This window comes from Homo sapiens, chromosome 22, assembly GCF_000001405.40.
Source record: "Homo sapiens chromosome 22, GRCh38.p14 Primary Assembly".
Taxonomy (NCBI): domain Eukaryota; kingdom Metazoa; phylum Chordata; class Mammalia; order Primates; family Hominidae; genus Homo; species Homo sapiens.
In genome coordinates this window covers 20,502,958-20,521,260 of record NC_000022.11, presented here as the reverse complement: position 1 = coordinate 20,521,260, position 18,303 = coordinate 20,502,958, and the positions used below count along the sequence as shown (strand labels likewise).

At 49.8% G+C, this 18,303-nt stretch overlaps 1 protein-coding gene across 13 annotated transcripts in view, besides 3 other annotated features; it reads right to left on the bottom strand.

The window, feature by feature from the left end:
- The window catches only part of MED15 (mediator complex subunit 15), an 80,010-nt gene extending 66,359 nt beyond the window's left edge, over window positions 1-13,651 (bottom strand). For 8 of the 13 annotated variants that reach the window (NM_001003891.3, NM_015889.5, NM_001293234.2 and 5 more), the window contains exon 1: window positions 13,515-13,651. In NM_001003891.3, the coding sequence (NP_001003891.1) occupies window positions 13,515-13,582 (68 nt within the window). In that variant the 5' untranslated portion in view covers window positions 13,583-13,651. Of the gene's footprint in view, window positions 1-2,265; window positions 2,384-12,816; window positions 13,215-13,514 lie in introns of those variants that run through there. The other 5 variants (XM_047441395.1, XM_047441398.1, XM_047441401.1 and 2 more) reach the window with 3 other exon arrangements.
- Window positions 3,493-3,542: an enhancer, noted in NCBI's record as "active region_18680". NCBI's record gives its function as "activates an Ori minimal core promoter by ATAC-STARR-seq in GM12878 lymphoblastoid cells {active_cell/tissue: GM12878}" and the evidence as "EXISTENCE:reporter gene assay evidence [ECO:0000049][PMID:35858748]".
- Window positions 13,559-13,668: an enhancer, noted in NCBI's record as "active region_18679". NCBI's record gives its function as "activates an Ori minimal core promoter by ATAC-STARR-seq in GM12878 lymphoblastoid cells {active_cell/tissue: GM12878}" and the evidence as "EXISTENCE:reporter gene assay evidence [ECO:0000049][PMID:35858748]".
- Window positions 15,548-16,047: an enhancer, noted in NCBI's record as "H3K4me1 hESC enhancer chr22:20859501-20860000 (GRCh37/hg19 assembly coordinates)". NCBI's record gives its function as "activates a minimal SCP1, AML or CMV promoter by ChIP-STARR-seq in naive H9 embryonic stem cells {active_cell/tissue: H9 hESC(naive)}" and the evidence as "EXISTENCE:reporter gene assay evidence [ECO:0000049][PMID:30033119]".

The following is an 18,303-nucleotide window of genomic DNA, read 5'->3' as shown; positions in this document are numbered from 1 at the left end:
GCTAGGCATGGTGGTACGTGCCTGTAATCCCAGCTAATCGGGAGGCTGAGGCAGGAGAACTGCCGGAACCTAGGAGGCAGAGGTTGCAGGGAGCCAAGATTGTGCTACTGCACTCCAGCCTGGGTAACAGAGTGAGACTCCATCTCAAAAAAAAAAAAAAAAAAAAAAAAAATAGAACAACTGCTGCCTGTGAGGATAAATGAGGATAAATTTCACACATGATGCACACAATTGCACAGAGGACTGTAATCCCAGCACTCTGGGAGGCTGAAGCAGGTGGATTGCTTGAGCCCAGGAGTTCGAGACCAGCCTGGGAAACATGGCAAAACCCCATCTCTACAAAAAACACAAAAATTAGCAGGGCATGGTGGTGAGCACCTGTAGTACCAGCTACTTGGGAGGCTGAGGTGGGAAGATTGCTTGAGCCCACAGGAGGTCGAGACTGCAGTTAGCCGAGATTGTACCACTGCACTCTACCCTGGGCAACAGGGCGAGACCCTGTCTCGAAAAAAAGATGGCACAGAGTGTGATTGCACAGAGATTCCAAATGTCTCGGCTGGCCATGGAAGTCAGAAGAGTGGTGCACAGTTTGCCCTGGCTGGGTGCAGATCTGGGGAGTATCAACAGTTCTCTGGTGGCACACTCAAGATTGGAAGTATGCGTGTCGTTCACTGTGATAGGGATTATACCTCAATTTAAACACCCCATGAAATAAGCAAGAGCTCTGAGCCTGTGCCTCAGGACCCTGCCCTGTTCTTTGGTTGGCCTGAATGCCTACTACAGAGCACTTGGCAGGGACTTCTCCCTCACACGAATCAAAGCAGACTGACAGCACTTGCAGGACGTATGGTGACCCACCGAGGCTTCTGAGGACGAACCCTGAGTTCTACTTCACAACAGGGGCTCTGTCTCACACATAGCAGACTCATCACTTCCTCAAAGGTCATGTCTGATGAGGAGGACTGAAAGGAAGCTTGGAAAGAGCAAAGAACAGAAGAGAAGGGCAGCGGGCACGTGGGATGAGTCACTTCTTAACCTACAAGCACTGCTTTCACCCAGCCCCCAGAGCCCACCAACATAAGAAGAAGCAAGGGGTACGTAGGCTGGGAAGAACAGAAGTTCCAGGGGTGGGGGCCTTGCTGGTCCCCTGCCTTTGGCCCAGATGTCCCTCATTCCCCTTCAGCCCTCCAGCTCACACTTCACTCTTGTGTGAGCCCCTATCTCTCCCCCAGATTCATAGGCAGAGCTCAGAGAAGCTGCTGGGGCCAAGGATTAAAAGTGAACAAATCCTGCCAAAGAGAAGGGCTAGTTAAAAAAAAATTAAAATTAAAAAGACAGAAACAAATAAAAGGAAACGAAGCCCAGAAGGAGGAGGCCCCCAGGGAGTATGGGAAGATGGTAAAAGTGAGAATGAGCTGGTGAATCCCAGGGAAGAGGATGCCTGAGTGCTTTTACTGTCCTTGCAACTCTCTGTACATTTGAAATATTCTCAAAATAAAAACCTCAGGCCGGATGCAATGGCTCACGCCTGTAATCCCAGCACTGTGGGAGGATGCGGCAGGCAGATCACCTGAGGTCAGAAGTTTGAGACCAGCTTGGCCAATATGGTGAAGCCCCATCTCTAATAAAAATACAAAAATTAGCCAGGTGTGGTGGTGCAGGCCTGTAATCCCAGCCACTCAGAAGGCTGAGGCACAAGAATCACTTGAACTCGGAAGGCGGAGGTTGCAGTGAGCCAAGGTCAGGCCAGTGAGCCGAGGTCAGGCCACTGCACTCCAGCCTGGGCAACAGAGCAAGACTGTCTCAAGAAAAAAAAAAAAAAACACCCTCAAAATAAGGAGACATGGGGCTTGGAAAGAAGGTAAAGCATCTTCTCCAAGGACTCACTGCCCTAAATAACAGAGTTATTGTACCTCAAGCCCTTAACCCAATCACAGGGCCTCTATTAACAGCCCTGCACCTAGACTAGAAAGAGAGTCATTACTAAAGTTGAGGCGAACATCTCCCTTATGGGGTGATGGTTTAGAGGTAATTATGCCTTGGCTGCTATTCTATTCCCCTCTGTTCTCTAGCCTGTACTCCCCTTTGTCTTTAAATAAATGTCTCAGGGCCAGGCACAGTGGCTCACACCTGTAATCCCAGCACTTTGGGAGGCGGAGGCAGCAGATCGCTTGAGCCCAGGAGTTGGAGACCAGCCTGGACAACATGGCAAAACCCTTACTCTACAAAAAATTACACAAATTAGCCGGGCATGGAGGCACACACCTGTGGTCCCAGCTACTTGGGAGGCTGACGTGGGAGGATCGCTTGAGCCCAGGAGGTGGAGGTTGCAGTGAGCCACAATCACGCCACTGCACTTCAGCCTGAGTGACAGAGTGAGACCCTGCCAAATAAACAAACAAATAAATGAATGTCTCAAAAAGAAAATCAACCATCACAAGCTGTGAGGGAAAAAAGTTCAAAATGAGAAGTTCAGAACGGTTTAGGCAGCACTGATGGACAAAACCATGGCAGGCTTTAATTAAAGCCAGCACTGCTTTCCACAACCCTACATATAATTATTATGTACTTCATCTAGGCCAAGATATTGTGCTAAGAACTATAAGAGACATAGAGCTATGAGTCCAGGTCCCACACTCAAGGAATTTCCAATGCTGTTGGCAAGGCAAAAAATAGTTAATCTGTTCAGTTCGTGTCAGGATGCACTCAATGAGGGCTCTGGAGCCACCACAGGCTGAGCTAACCATCAGGGGTCATCTGGAGGGGATGAAGCCAAGGTCAAAGCTTCACCAGGGAAGAGGGTCACAGAGACAGAGGAAGAGCCAGACACTACAGCATCCAGAAAGGGCATGGTGTGGCACAAAGCTCTCGTGCCAACATGAAGAAAGGTAACTTGGAAGGACAGTATCAAACTGAAAGGGAAAGGGCCTCAAGCTCCCTTGCAGGGATGGAAAGGATGGAATCATCCTGGGAAGGCTGGTCTGGCATTGAGGGCCCAGGTGAGAGAAGTCACCAGGCACGCAAGCCTGGGCGACAGGGCGAGACTCCATCTCAAACAAAGAAAAAATTAAAATCATTCATACCAGTTAAAGACATCTGTTTAATAAAACTCAGCCTGTACCACGCATCCTGCTTGGTAACAAGCGCTTGTCGATGTTGACGCATTATGGCAGTCCCTCACGTCAATGTCAACAGCAGCACAGAGCCCATCACCTGCAGCTACAACTCTAACCAAGCTCCCACTGTTGGTCTGTTTCACAAATCCCACTCCTGAGACAATGATGCGGCAATGAGCACCCTCATCACCATCAGGCTTTGAATACTTTCCTGATTGCGCCCTTGGAGGAAATCGACATTTTTAAGGTACTGGGATAAACAGTATTGCCAAAAGGCCTTCCAGAAAAAAAATGGATCTAATTTAAGTGCCCCCAGCTGAGCTGACTGGTTGCATCTTCCTGTGGTGTTTCTGCCATCTCTACCTGAGGTGAATGTCCCCTCAGGACAGCCCCCATCACCATAGCAGCTGAAATGGGCCTGCAGCAGTACTCAGGAAACTGGCACTGGACAGATCTAGGAATCCCCCTGCTACAGCAGTCCTGAGAGGCAGGAAATGATTGATTCAAGCTCCTGCCCTGACGAGTTCAGACTAGGAGGAGATAAGCCTTCAAACAAACCAAGTGCAACCTGGAAACTCCTCACCAAGCCTGTGAAAAGAGCAGCGGGGTGGGGGCAGTGAAAAGAGCAGGGTGGTGGGGGCAGCAGAAGGCCCAGTCTCCTTGGAGAACGGCTGCACTGCTCAGCCACGAAAAGGAAGGATCTTTTAGGTAGGCAAACAAACTGGACACAGAGCAGGGAGTAAGAACTGAGATTGTCTGAGGATCCACTGCCAGCTTGGTATGATGGAGCACAGGTCAAGGAACTGGCAGGCAGGTGCAGACACTGCACGAAGGATCAAGACTAAGAACAGAATCCACAGACAGTGGGCAGCCACTAAAACAGTCTGGGCATCAAAATAACTGGGGATGGCCAGGCGTAGTGGCTCATGCCTGTAATCCAACACTTTGGGAGGCAAAGGCAGGAGGCTCACTTGAGGCCAAGAGTTCAAGACCAGCCTGGGCAACAAACCAAGACCTGGTCTCTACCAAAAAAAAAAAAAATAAGAAAATTAGCCAGCATGGTGGCGCCTACCCTTAGTCCCAGCTACTTGGGAAGCTAAGGCAGGAAGATCACTTAAGCCCAGGAGTTGGCTGCAGTGAGCTATGATTGTACTGCTGCACTCCAGCCTGGGCAACATAACAAGACCCTTTCTCAAAAAATAGTAATAATAATTGTGTGGAGGTCAAGTACATGAGACAAGAGTTGATAATCACTGAAGCAGAGTGGTGCGTATATGGACATAGGGGTCTTTCTTCTATTTGGTTTTATGATTTAAATTTTTCATTTTGAATTTTTAAAAATTCATTAAAATTCCTTAAAATGTTTGCCCTCCAGATATTTAACAGAAATTACTGTCCTAAGGAATGCTTTAAAGGAGGCTAGTACCCCACAGCCCTGCCATGATAGTGGCAGGGAGATAATCACGTGGTCATGGTCCTTCCTACCTCGGGATGCCCAGCATGGGTCCTTGACTGGCCACAGCCACAGCATCACAAACACCAGTAATAGCTGGAAGACCTCTGGTCAGGGTGGATGTCAGGGCCTGCAACTGTGGTAGGCATGTGGGGTCACTTACAAAAGGGACCTGGTAGGGCTGGGGGTTAAGGTCTGGGGGGTACTGGTTGGCAGAGGCCAAAGATCAAAAGGGGCTTGCTGGCTGGCTCTTCCTCTGCTGTTAGGGTCCAAAAAACAAAAACAAATAAAAGGGGTTTGTCTGTCTTGTCCTGCTGTGGTTCAGCAACCATTCATTTATTTACTTATTTATTATTATTATTATTATTATTATTTATTGAGACGGAGTTTCGCTCTTGTTGCCCAGGCTGGAGTGCAATGGCGTGATCTCGGCTCACTGCAACCTCCGCCTCCCAGGTTCAAGCAATTCTCCTGCCTCAGCCTCCTGAGTAGCTGGGATTACAGGCATGTACCACCATGCCCAGCTAATTTTGTATTTTTAGTAGAGACAGGGTTTCTCCATGTTGAGGCTGGTCTAGAACTCCTGACCTCAGGTGATCCGCCCGCCTCAGCCTCCCAAAGTGCTGGGATTACAGGTGTGAGCCACCGCGCCCAACCTACTTATTTATTTTTAATTTTTTTTGTTTGTTTTGAGACAGAGTCTTGCTCTGTCACCGGCTAGAGTGAAGTGGCGTGATCTTGACTCACTGCAACCTCCGCCTCTCAGGTTCAAGCGATTCTCCTACCTCAGCCTCCCAAGTAGCTGGGACTACAGGTGTGCACCACTATGCCTGGCTAATTTTTGTATTTTTAGTAGAGACGAGGTTTTATTATCTTGGCCAGGTTGGTCTATATATTTTTTTTTTTTGAGACTGAGTCTCACTCTGTCGCCAGGCTGGAGTGCAGTGGCGCGACCTTGGCTCATTGCAACCTCTGCCTCCCGGGTTTAAGCGATTCTCCTGCCTCAGCCTCCCCACCGGGACTACAGGTGCCCGCCACCATGCCCAGCTAATTTTTGTATTTTTAGTAGAAATGGGGTTTCACCATGTTGCCCAGACTGGTCTCAAACTCCTGACCTCAAGCAATCCACCCACCTTAGCCTCCCAAAGTGCTAGGATTATAGGCGTGAGCCACTACGCCCAGCCTTCGTAAACTTTATTATGAGATTTTTTGGCAATTTTTTTTTTTTAGCTCGTCAGCTATCATTAGTGTTAGTGTATCTTATGTGTGGCCCAAAACAATTCTTCTTCCTACATGGCCCAGGGAAGCCAAAAGACTGGACACCCCTGATTTACAACATGTAGAGTAACTCTAAGCAGCAGTGGCCTCTCCTCTAGGTCTCATTTTCCTCATCTTATAAATGTGAGTAACATGTACATCTACTGACAAAGAAAGCATGAAGAGGGGATGAGTCAACATCTGTCAACTCCTGCAACAGGGCTTGGCATAGCATGCCTGCCGCACGTCAGCTGCTGTTGAGAAAGCCCTGAACTCCTGAGCAGATGACTGAGGGCTCAAGTCCCCTCAGGTCACTGTCACGACTGGCCTAGAGGCTCAACAACCACTTCCTATTTGCCCATCAGGAGCAGCCCTATGGGGCACTGGGGCTATGAAAGTGAAGAGAGGGACAGACAGGGCCCCTAGCCTCAAGGAATGGACATTCTAGCAATAGGTTATACACAGACACCTGTAAGCCAGTGCAGCCATTTATGTGACAACCAGGCTATGAAGCTGGAAAACAAGGGCTGGAGCTGCACCAGAAGGGCACAGAGCTGTGAGTGGGAAAAGCCACAGAAAAAGCTCCGCCAAGGCTGACTCACTGGCTTCTGCCTATGGCACGACCATGACCCACAGGCAGAATCTGGGCTTGCAAGTTTAAGGGCACTCCCTATCCTTCTGAAGACCTCTCCAGACCCTTGGAAGTTGCTGTTCAGTTGTATGTTTTGTTCCTTGTGTTGTCTTACTTGGAGCTCACGTCTCTCTGGAGGCTTCACTAGAAGAGGTGGCTGACCTGGCAGTTCCAGCTCCATTCCATGCTCCCCCTAAGCCCCTTCTGGCACTTCATCAGATACTGGACTGTCCTTCCCCAGCTGTGTCACCTCCTCTCTGTATTGTTTTGCCCAATGGACATCTATTTATTTCATCTTTATATGTGCAATCTGCTGTACAGAGGGGTGGGAGGGATAAAAGTCTCAAGAATAGGATCACAGAAAAACCAAAAAGAATTGAAAGAAAATAGCTGATAAGGTCCTTTTGTTCATTCACAGCTTAAATATTTTCTACAAACCTGTATGACAGGTGCAGCACTAGTCATTGCAGATGCACTCTTGTTCTCTGAGAGCCTATAGCCCAGAGACAGGCTCAACATTAACCCAGCAATCCCATGAGGAAGGTCCAAGCCCCAAAAAGGCCAGTTAAATTGGTTCTAAGGGTGGCTTATCCTGCAGTTTCTGCAGGGAGAGTAGATGTTCAATAAAGAGTCAACAAAGGCAAGCACGGTGGCTCACACCTGTAATCCTAGCCCTTTGGGAGGCTGAGGCAGGTGGATCACTTGAGCCCAGGAGATCAAGACCAGCCTGGGAGACATGGTGAAACCCTGTCTCTTACACAAAATACAAAAATTAGCTGGGCCTGGTGGCATGCGTCTGTAGTACCAGCTACTTGGGAATGCTGAGGTGGGAGGATCGCTTAAGCCTGGGAGCCAGAGGTTGCAGTGGGCCAAGATCATGCCACTGCACTCCAACCTGGAGGAGAGAGCAAGATTCTGTTTCAAAAAAGAAAATGCCAACATGAAGCTACTAACAATTTCCCAACTACCTCCCCACAGGCTCCAATAAGGGTCATCAATTTCCCTAACCAGGCTTGGGGTATTGGGGTATCACCCTTATTCTCCAAGACTATAGATCTCCTACTCCTGCAAGGGCACAGGAGGTGGTGGCAGGGAGCTCACCACTGAGTCCCAAGACCTCTGCAAAGGCTTGTACAGAGGTCTCTTCATTTTTCCCTTCTACCACACCTGTAAAACAGATTGGCTTTCTACCATTTCATTGATGAGGGACACGATTAAGAAAGGCTAGGCCAGGTGCAGTGGCTCACGCCTGTAATCCCAACACTTTGGGAGGCCGAGGCAGGTGGGTCATGAGGTTGGGAGTTCAAGACCAGCCTGACCAAGATGGTGAAACCCCGTCTCTACTAAAAATACAAAAATTAGCCAGGAGTGGTGGCGGGTGCCTGTAATCCCAGCTACTCTGGAGGCTGAGGCAGAGAACTGCTTGAACCCGGGAGGCAGAGGTTGCAGTGAGCTGAGATCGCACCAATGCACTCCAGCCTGGGCCACAGGGCGAGACTCCGTCTCAAAAAAAAAAAAAAAGAAAGAAAAAGAAAGGCTAACAAGTGTAACAAGTGGAGAAAGCAGGGGCTCCAGAGCTTCACAATGTACACTGGTTCAGGTAAAGAATACCACTGCACTGGAGAATCACTTGAGTCCAGGAGTTTGAGGCTGCAGTGAGCTATGATCATACCAACTGCACTCCAGCCCAAGTGACAAAGCAAGACCCTGTCTCTTAAAAAAATAAAAAAATAAAGAATACCACTGTAATACAAGAGGTGACCCGGCCGGGCGTGGTGGCTCATGTCTGTAATCTCAGCACTTTGGGAGGCCGAGGCGGGTGGATCACGAGGTCAGGAGTTCGAGACCAGCCTGACCAACATGGTGAAACCCCGTCTCTACTAAAAATACAAAAATTAGCTGGGCCTGGTGGCGCATGCCTGTAACCCCAGCTATTCGGGAGGCTGAGGCAGGAGAATCGCTTGAACCCGGGAGGCAGAGGTTGAAGGAACCGAGATCACACCATTGCACTCCAGAGTGAGACTCTGTCTCAAAAAAAAAAAAAATTAGCTGGGCGTGGTGGCGGGCGCCTGTAGTCCCAGCTACTCAGGAGGCTGAGGCAGGAGAATGGCGTGAACCTGGGAGGCGGAGCTTGCAGTGAGCTGAGATTGTGACACTGCACTCCAGCCTGGGCAACAGAGCGAGACTCCACCTCAAAAAAAAAAAAAAAAAAAAAAGAGGTGACTCACACAGCCCCCAAGAAAATACTATTCCACTCCTCAACAAGTGTTTTGTATACCAGGTACCAAGCTTCATAGGTATGAGGTCCTATGGGAAACTAAAAAGGGCTGAGATAAAACATATCAGAGGCGGTGACCAACTTTAGATCAAGCAGGGAAGGATCCTCTGAGTATCTGATACTGAGCAGACACCTAAAAGAAGGAGCTAGTCATGAATACAGTGGTGGGGAGGAGTCTACTCATTTTTCAATACCTTAAACACTTGATAATAAATTGGTTAAAAAGAAAGAGCTCAGGGGCCAGGCATAGTAGCTCACATCTGTAATCCCAGTGCTTTGGAAGGCTAGTAGGGAGGATCATCTGAACCCAGGAGTTCAAGACCAGTCTGGGCAACATGGTGAAACCTCATCTCTACAAAAAATATAAAAATCAGTCAGGCGTGGTGGTGTGTGCCTGTAGTCCCAGCTACTCAGAAGGCTACAGTGGGAGGATCGTTTGACCCTGGGAGGTCAAGGCTGCAGTGAGCTATCATCGTACCACTGCACTCTAACCTGGGCCACAGAGCAAGATCTTGTCTCCAAAAAAAAAAAAAAAAAGCTTAGAATGTTCAAGAAGCTGAAAGACCAGAGAGGTCAGAACACGGTGGGGGTAGGAGAAGAGATGACTATACCAGGTCAGGGTGAGGGGCTGGGAGGGTGGGACATCTGGAGTTTTATTCTAATGCTAAGAAAAGTCACTGATTGTTCTGCAGCAGGGCAGTGGCTACACTTTAGGCCTCACCCTCACTTGTGCTGTTGGGGGAAGAAGGATGGGACTGGGAAGAGAGCAGGAGACCACAGCCCAGAATGGGCCCAGATGAGGTGGAGGCAGTGGAGGGCTAAGAGGCTGAACTGGAGAGTCCCTGCAATGGCTGTCTAGTCATAGCCAGCCTCAACTCAAAATCCCTTTTTCTCAGTGGGAGCCAGGAGACTAGACTATATACCAGCTCATGCTCTGGGGCATTGTTCCCTAGGCTCTTGGTAGAGACAGATAAGTAACCATCAAATGTTTTCTTCTCTGTCAAAACTCAGAATGCTTTTTTTTTTTCTTTTTTTGAGAAGGGTCTTGCTCTGTGGCCCAGGTTGGAGTGCAGTGGTGTGAACGTAGCTCACTGCAGCCTCGACCTCCCAGGCTCAAGCGATCCCCCCACCTCAGCCTCCAGAGTAGCTGGGACTACGAGTGCACGCCACCACACCCAGCTGATTGTTGTATTTGTTTATGTTACCTAGGCTGGTCTCAAACTCCTGGACTCAAGTAGTCCCAGATCTCAGCCTCCCAGGGTGCTGGGATTACAGGTGTGAGTCACGGTGCCACAAGCAAGACACTTTCTCTATCCCTTCATCAACTATAAATTACTTGGGTATAAAGCATTTCCCAAAATGGCCAAATTTAAACAACAGTGTAAAAACATGGGAGGAAGTTAAGAGTTAAAGGTATGTCTAGAATTCTAATGCAAATCTTTTTTTAACCCTATGAGCACAATAAATCAAGGCACCAAGAATCACGACTTTCAACGTGAACCCTAGAGAGAAAGTGAACCCTAGAGAGAAAACAGACAAATTTGAGAACTGAGAACACCCACATCACCTAGGGAAGGCAACCTCTGAAACTGCTCTTCCCGGCTGTGGTAGGAGAATGCCCATCTCGTGCCTAATCCCTAGAACTTGTGAATATGCTACATTACATGTCAAAAGGAATTCTGCAGATGTAATTAAAATTACAAACTTTAAAATAAAGAGATTATCCTGGCTTCTCTGTGTGCACTAAATCTAATCTGAGCCCTGAAAAGCAGGATATTTTCTCTAGCTGAAATCAGAGAGATGTGGCAGAAGAACTGGCCCTCGCTGGAGGGAGACACATAAAAAGCATGAGAAGGAATTCGGGCAGCTTCTGGGAACAAAGACTGACTCCTGGCTAACAGCCAGTAAGGAAAGAGGGCACCTCAGTCCTACAAGCTCAAGGAACTGAATATGGCCAACAGCATAAATGGGCTTGCAAGCAAGTTCCACCCCAAGGCATTCAGTAAGAAATGCACCCTGCCAACGTCTTGATTTCAGCCTTGATAGGCCTTGATAGCAGGAGACCTAGTGGAACCTACTTGGACCTCTGACCTACAGAAACTACCAAATGATAAATGTGTGTTTTTTGTTTGTTTGTTTTTGAGATGGAGTCTCGCTCTGTCACTAGGCGGGATAGCAGTGGTGCGATCTCGGCTCACTGCAACCTCCGCCTCCCGGGTTCAAGCAATTCTCCTGCCTCAGACTCTTGAGTAGCTGGGACTACAGGTGTGCGCCATCACACCCAGCTAATTTTTGGATTTTTAGTAGAGATAGGGTTTCACCGTGTTGGCCAGGATGGGTCTCAGTCTCTTGACCTCGTGATCCGCCTGCCTCAGTCTCCCAAAGTGCTGGGATTACAGGCGTGAGCCACCACACCTGGCTAAAGGTGTGTTGTTTTAAGATGCTAAACTTGTGGTAATTTGTTAGAGCGGCAACAGAAAAACACACAAACAGCAATATCGAAAAAAATAAAGAACTCAATTCTCCCGGAAGCAAAATAAAGCTGAGTTATGAAGTATCCAGTCACTCAACACCCATAAACTCTTCAATCACCCTCCCAGCCCTCTTAACACTTCCCCTACCCCCATTTTCTTTGATGACAACTCACCCTTCCAGTTCTTAATTCTGGGCTTTCCCAGAGAAGAACCCTTGCCCTGGGGACTTTTCTTGCAGGAACCCTGAAGTGGGATATCTCTCAAGTTTTCACCTACAGATAACTATATTTTATCAGTAAAACACTGTTCACTGATTGTGCAATATCCCCAGAAATATCCCAAGGCTATTCTTCCCAAAGCCCATAGCTACTAACTCTACAGTCCCTACTCTTTCCACTGTACTGAAAGGTTTCCCAGCATTCAGCCCGGCTTCCTTCCTTCCACAATGCTTCACCCCACACCCCACCCCCCTCCATCCAGTTAGTCATCAAGAATTGTCTACGTTCCCCCTCCTCTGGAATCTGTCTTCCTCTTTCAGTTTCTACCACTGTCTAATGCAGGCCTTTATAATCTCCCGCCCGACTAGGTCATGCCACAATCATTTTACGGAGCAATGTGGCAGGCAGTGAGCTAGCAGTGAGAATATAAGGATGAAAAAGGACAGGTTCCCTACTCCCTCCAAATGTTCAAACTCTCTTAATAGCTTAACTGGTCTCTCTTCTCTGCCCTGCATCCATCTCCAGGGACAGGGACTCTAGGCATATTCCCAACACTGGCATTTCACTACTCCAAAGAATGCCACATGCCAAACACAGGCTCAATTCCTTGGCACAACACCCCCACTAAAGTGCTAGTACCTGCTCACCCTCATTCCATCATCTCCTGGGCTCTCTTACTCCTCGAGCCCCAGAACTCTCAGCCTACAAGATCCTCCCTCCACGCAGTAAATGCTCATGTTTCCTAACTCCTCAGCTTGGAATGGTGGCTATTCACACTCCTACTTGTCTTTCTAGGACTCAATTTATTCGTCACCTACTCACTAGACTGCCCCTGGTCTGCTCAAGTTAACCGCCGCTTCGCAAGAAACCCCTGCAGTATACACATTACAGACTGACAAGACTGCGCTGTGACGGTTCCTTTACCATCCCTCAGGAAAGGGGCTGTGTCTCAGGCAAATCTGTGGCGAGCACAACACGCCAATAAGCTCAGTTAAAAACTGTCAGGCCTCTGAGCCCAGGCCAGGCCATCGCATCCCCTGTGACTTGCACGTATACATCCAGATGGCCTGAAGTAACTGAAGATCCACAAAAGAAGTAAAAACAGCCGTAACTGATGACATTCCACCATTGTGATTTGTTCCTGCCCCACCCTAACTGATCAATGTACTTTGTAATCTCCCCCACCCTTAAGAAGGTTCTTTGTAATTCTCCCCACCCTTGAGAATGTACTTTGTGAGATCCATCCCTGCCCACCAGAGAACAATTGACTAATTTTCCATTACCTTCCCAAATCCTATAAAACGACCCCACCCCTATCTCCCTTCGCTGACTCTCTTTTCGGACTCAGCCCACCTGCACCCAGGTGAAATAAACAGCTTTATTGCTCACACAAAGCCTGTTTGGTGGTCTCTTCACACGGACGCGCATGAAAAAAACTGCTAACAGAAACAAGCAGTCGGTGGTGAGGGGCTAGAGTTCCTCTGAGCGGGGCCACTGACCCCAGCTCTTCACGCTCTCCTCCAGAAACGACGATCGCTTCCTGACAGCGGCTTCCTGCCATCCTTCGGCAAAGTCCACATTCCTTCGGGGGGTCACCCTCAGATCCTCCGTCCCACCGCCCACACCCCAAACAACTACCTTCCCAATCTCATCTTACATCCACCCTCCTCCCATCACTTTCTTTCACCGTTGATGCGCTTTTCTGGAAGAGAAACCATGAAGCACCCAGCCCTGCTAAACCCACTACAGCCGGCTGCTTCTCTCCCTTTCCCTATTCAGTGTGGTTCAAAAAGCGGGGGAAAGTCTGCACCCAAAGCACACAAATGACGAATGAGAAAGCTCAAGACGATGATTCATAAGCCAGGGCTCGTTGGTTTGCAGAGCTCGGCCCCAGGAAAGCAAACGAGCAGTCCATGTCGGGAACGGAGGGGACAGACGGGGGGGCCCGAGCCCTGGGACCCACGCAAGTCCCCGGCGCCTTCTGTCTCCCGGCGCCGTAGGTTTCTCACGGGTCCGGCCCTGGCCTCGCCCGCCACGCTAAGGAGGAAGGTCCCACAATCCAGCCCCCTGCCCCGACCACTACTCACATTTGACTGACCAGCTTCTGCCGGAAGGCGGTGCTCCGCCAGTCGGTCTCTTGCCCGGAAACGTCCATGCCTGTTCCCCAGCTCCCGCCGCCCGTATCCCGCTTGGCCGCCACCGCCGCCGCCTCAGTCACAGAGCCAGGCCCAAACCCGGAAGCCGTCCGCAGTGCCTCGGCCGAGCCGGAAGTGAAGGAGGGCTTGTGGGAAATGGAGTCTCGCGCACAGGCTTGTGGGAAATGAAGTTCCCCGCCGGGGACGAAGCGGTCTCGGTTCCGCCCGGCTGGGAGACACACGCCCCTCTTCCAGTGCAGCTGTCGGACACGGCAGGTGCTCCCGCAGCAGACCTGCGCCTGACCGCCTGCATTTTCTGCAACTCTTCAGTGTGCTGGCCTTATCTAGTCCCTGAGATCCAGACCCCTCCGGGATGCCAGGCCAAGCTGCCAGCTATCTATAGTAATGCTAGGGAGAGAGTGTTTATTTATCAAATATGTGTGGGTACCTACTGTGTGCCAGTGCAACGTGATCTGGGATCTGCTTTCATGCAACTGCCTGCTAGCGCCGCATCCGAAGAGCGACCAGATGGACTCTCATCACCGCTTCACTCTTCGATTTTTTGAATCTCACATCTCACAATGGCTGTATTTGGGGGTTGGGAATGTGAGGCCCCTAAACCACGTTAATTAATTTTTAGACATGGGCTTTCCCTTTTGACCAGCAGCCACGTCCCCTTCATGGAGAACTCAGCCTAGCTAGTTGCTGGAGGCCAGATGTCAAACGAATTTGATAGGTGAAGGTGAGCGAGCTGAAGGTGGGATGAGGGGTTATGGGGGCCTGAGAATGCTTTTAGGAATGTAAAAGTTCTGCCTCCTTGGAACTATGGGGCCTTTATCTGCTACCCTGGGGAGGGAGGTGACGTGAGGAAAATCTGGAGCCCAAGTGGTCAATAAGCACCAGGTGGACACCAACCAACATGGGCCTCAGGAGACTGTGGACTGGCACCTACTGAAGCCTAAGTGCCAGGCCCCTGCTAGGCACTGTACACCCCTTACACCCCTTGTTACTGTGCCCCAGACAGGAGGTTGAAGGTGGTAGAGAGTGGGTGGGAGAGGAGTGAGCACTCTCCCCAAAGAGGCCTCTCTTGCCAACAGAGTTTCATGTCTTGTGTTGATGTGAGAGCTGTTCATGTTTTCAAACGTTTTCTGCTCTAATACTCCCAAAATCGTTATTGTTTTTTTTGAGGGGGGGGGGATAGAATTTAGCCCTTGTTGGCCAGGCTGGAGTGCAGTGGTGCCATCTCGGCTCACTGCAACCTCTGTCTCCCGGGTTCACGCAATTCTCCCACCTCAGCTTCCCCAGTAGCTGGGATTACAAGCGTACCCCACCATGCCTGGCTAATTTTTGTATTTTTAGTAGAGACAGGGTTTCACCACGTTGGCCAGGCTGGTCTCGAACTCCTGACCTCAGGTGATCCACCTACCTCGGCCTCCCAAAGTGCTGGGATTACAGGCATGAGCCACCGTGCCCGGTGGCAAAACTAATTTTTTTTTTTTGAGATGGAGTCTCGCCCTGTTGCCCAGACTGGAGTGCTGTGGTGACATCTCGGCTCACTGCAACCTCTGCCTCCCGGGTTCAAGTGATTCTCCTGCCTCAGCCTCCCAAGTAGCTGGGATTACAGGTGCCTGCTACGAAGCCCAGCTAATTTTTTGTATCCTTAGTAGAGACAGGGTTTCACCATCTTGGCCAGGCTGAAAACTAATTTTTAAAAACTCTATCTAGAGTGATCATCTTGACCGGGGTTGCCCAGGACATCCAAGGTTTTAGTGTTTTTTTCCTTGTTTTATTTTGTTGTTGTTGTTTGTTTGTTTGTTTTTTGAGATGGAGTCTTGCTCTGTTGCCCAGGCTGGAGTGCAGTGGCACAATCTTGGCTCACTGCAAGCTCCGCCTCCCGGGTTCACGCCATTCTCCTGCCTCAGCCTCCCAAGTAGCTGGGACTACAGGCGCCCGCCACCACGCCCAGCTAATTTTTTTGTATTTTTAGTAGAGACAGGGTTTCACCGTGTTAGCCAGGATGGTCTCGATCTCCTGACCTCATGATCCGCCTGCCTCGGCCTCCCAAATTGCTGGGATTACAGGCGTGAGCCACCGCGCCCGGCCCTTGGTTTTTTTTTTTTTTTTTTTTTTTTTTTTTTTGAGACAGAGTCTCACTCTGTCGCCCAAGCTGGAGTGCAGTGGCGCAATCTCAGCTCACTGCATCCTCCGCCTCTCAGGTTCAAGTGATTCTCCTGCCTCAGCCTCCTGAGTAGCTGGGACTACAAGCACCTGGCACCACATCTGGCTAATTTTTGTATTTTTGGTGGAGACAGGGTTTCACCATGTTGGCCAGGATGTTCTCAATCTCCTGACCTGGCGATCCACCCGCCTTGGCCTCCCAAAGTGTTGGGATTACAGGCGTGAGCCACCACGCCCAGCCTTGTTTTCTTTTTTTTTGAGACAGAGTCTCGCTAGGTCTGCCAGGCTTGAGTGCAGTGGCGTGATCGCTTACTGCAGTCCCCGCCATCCGGGGTTCAAGTGATTCTCGTGCCTCAGCCTCCCCAGTAGCTGGGACTACAGTGCGCCACCACGCCCGACTCATTTTTGTATTTTATTTTATTTTATTTTTAGTAAAGATGGGGTTTCACCATGTTGCCCAGGCTGGTCTTGAACTCCTGACAGGTGATCCGCCTGCCTCGGCCTCCCAAAGTGCTGGGATTACAGGTGTGAGCCACCGTGCCCAGCCCCAGGTTTAAGTTTTGAAAGTCCTGTGTTCTGGCTGGGCATGGTGGCTCACGCCTATAATCCCAGCACTTTGGGAAGCTGAGGCAGGTGGATCACCTGAGGTCAGGAGTTCGAGACCAGCTTGGCCAACATAGTGAAACCCCGTCTCTACTAAAAATACAAAAGTAGCCAGGCATGGTGGTGTGTGCCTGTAATCCCAGCTACTCAGGAGGCTGAGGCACGAGAATCACTTGAACCCAGGAGGTGGAGGTTGCAGTGAGCTGAGATTATGCCATTGCACTGCAGCCTGGGCAACAAGAGCGAAACTCTGTCTCAAACAAACAAACAAACAAACATGTTAATAGGATACTTAGGACAACCCTCCCCCTTCTGCACTATGGTTGATGGAGACACAGACACATAATTCACAGACACAGACAGAGAGAGGCCTGGAACTTTGCCAGGAGTTTATCATCACAGTAAAATTGAGTGACTATTCCCTTTGGTATTTTCCCCAGAGCTCTTTTTCTACTTGTCCCCGCATTGGGTTGGTGCCCAGGGCAGTGATCCCTGGTGACAGTCTGGATGGGTGACCTGGAAAGGTGGACCAAGGAAAGTAAGGGGCCACAGGAAGGTTGATCCTGAAGTGGACTTGCCCTCTCTTGACACTGTAGACCCTCCTGGGATCCCCAGTCTGGATGTTAGTGGTTTAGATGTCTGAGAATAAGTGATGGAGGAAGCCGAGGGTATGCAGAGGCCAGACCTGCATCCCACACTATGTTCTGGGGATCCTCATCTCGGGGGAGATCCTCACTGCTCATGTGGCCATGTCTCTAGCCTGCGGGTTCCTGCAGGCTACCATGCCAAGGCTGGTTCCACTCAATGGCCACATATTTCCTGGACACCATTCTGGGCTCTGCAGGAGGTAGGAGCTGGAAGCTTCCCAGGCAGATCAAGCTTCCCCCTAGAGAGCTCAGCACAAGCTCTGTGAGCCTGTGGCTGTCTCCATACAGCCTCACCTCCAATCTTCCTCCTTGCTTTGGCACTCAGTCCCTGGGAGGTGGTGACCTGCCCCACCTTCCATCCTAGCACCAGCCAGATGTAACTCCTCTGTGTGTTTGGCCTGGAGCCTGTAATCACTTATGTATGTGGAGGTAGGGAGGGAGTGGTTATTGTTTCTTTTTTTTTTTTTTTTGAGATGGAGTCTCACTCTGTTGCCCAGGCTGGAGTGCAGTGGTGCAATCTTGGCTCATTGCAACCTCCAGCTCCTGGGTTCAAGCAATTCTGCCTCAGCCTCCCAGGTAACTGGGATTACAGGCGCACGCCACCATACTTGGCTAATTTTTTGTATTTTTAGTAGAGATGGGGTTTCACCATGTTGGCTAGGCTGGTCTCGAACTCCTGACCTCAAATATCCACCTGCCTCAGTCTCCCAAAGTGCTGGATTACAGGCATGGGCCACCGCGCCAAGCCATGCAATTCATTTTTTTTTTGAGACAAAGTCTCACTCTGTTGCCTGGGCTGGAGTGCAGCAGCACGATCTTGGCTCATTGCAACCTCCGCCTCCCAGGTTGAAGCAATTCTCCTGCCTCAGACTCCCAAGTAGCTGGGATTACAGGCTTGTACCACCGTGCCCAATTTTTTTTTTTTTTTTTGAGATGGAGTCTCGCACTGTCTCCCAGGCTGGAGTGCAGTGGCACGATCTCGGCTCACTGCAACCTCCACCTCCCAGGTTCAAGCGATTCTCCTGCCCCAGCCTCCCAAGTAGCTGGGATTACAGGTAGGTCCCGCCACCACACCTGGCCTTACTTTTTATTTTTAGTAGAGACCAGGTTTCACCATATTGGCCAGGCTGGTCTTAAACTCCTGACCTCAGGTGATCCGCCCGCCTCGGCCTCCCAAACTGCTGGGACTACAGGGGTGAGCCCAGCCGCAATTCATTTTTATTGCACATTTTGCTCTTAGGTTGGATTGATAGTTTTATTATCTTTACCATTCAGTAGTGATAACATAAAACTTGTTTGACTAGTCCATCAAT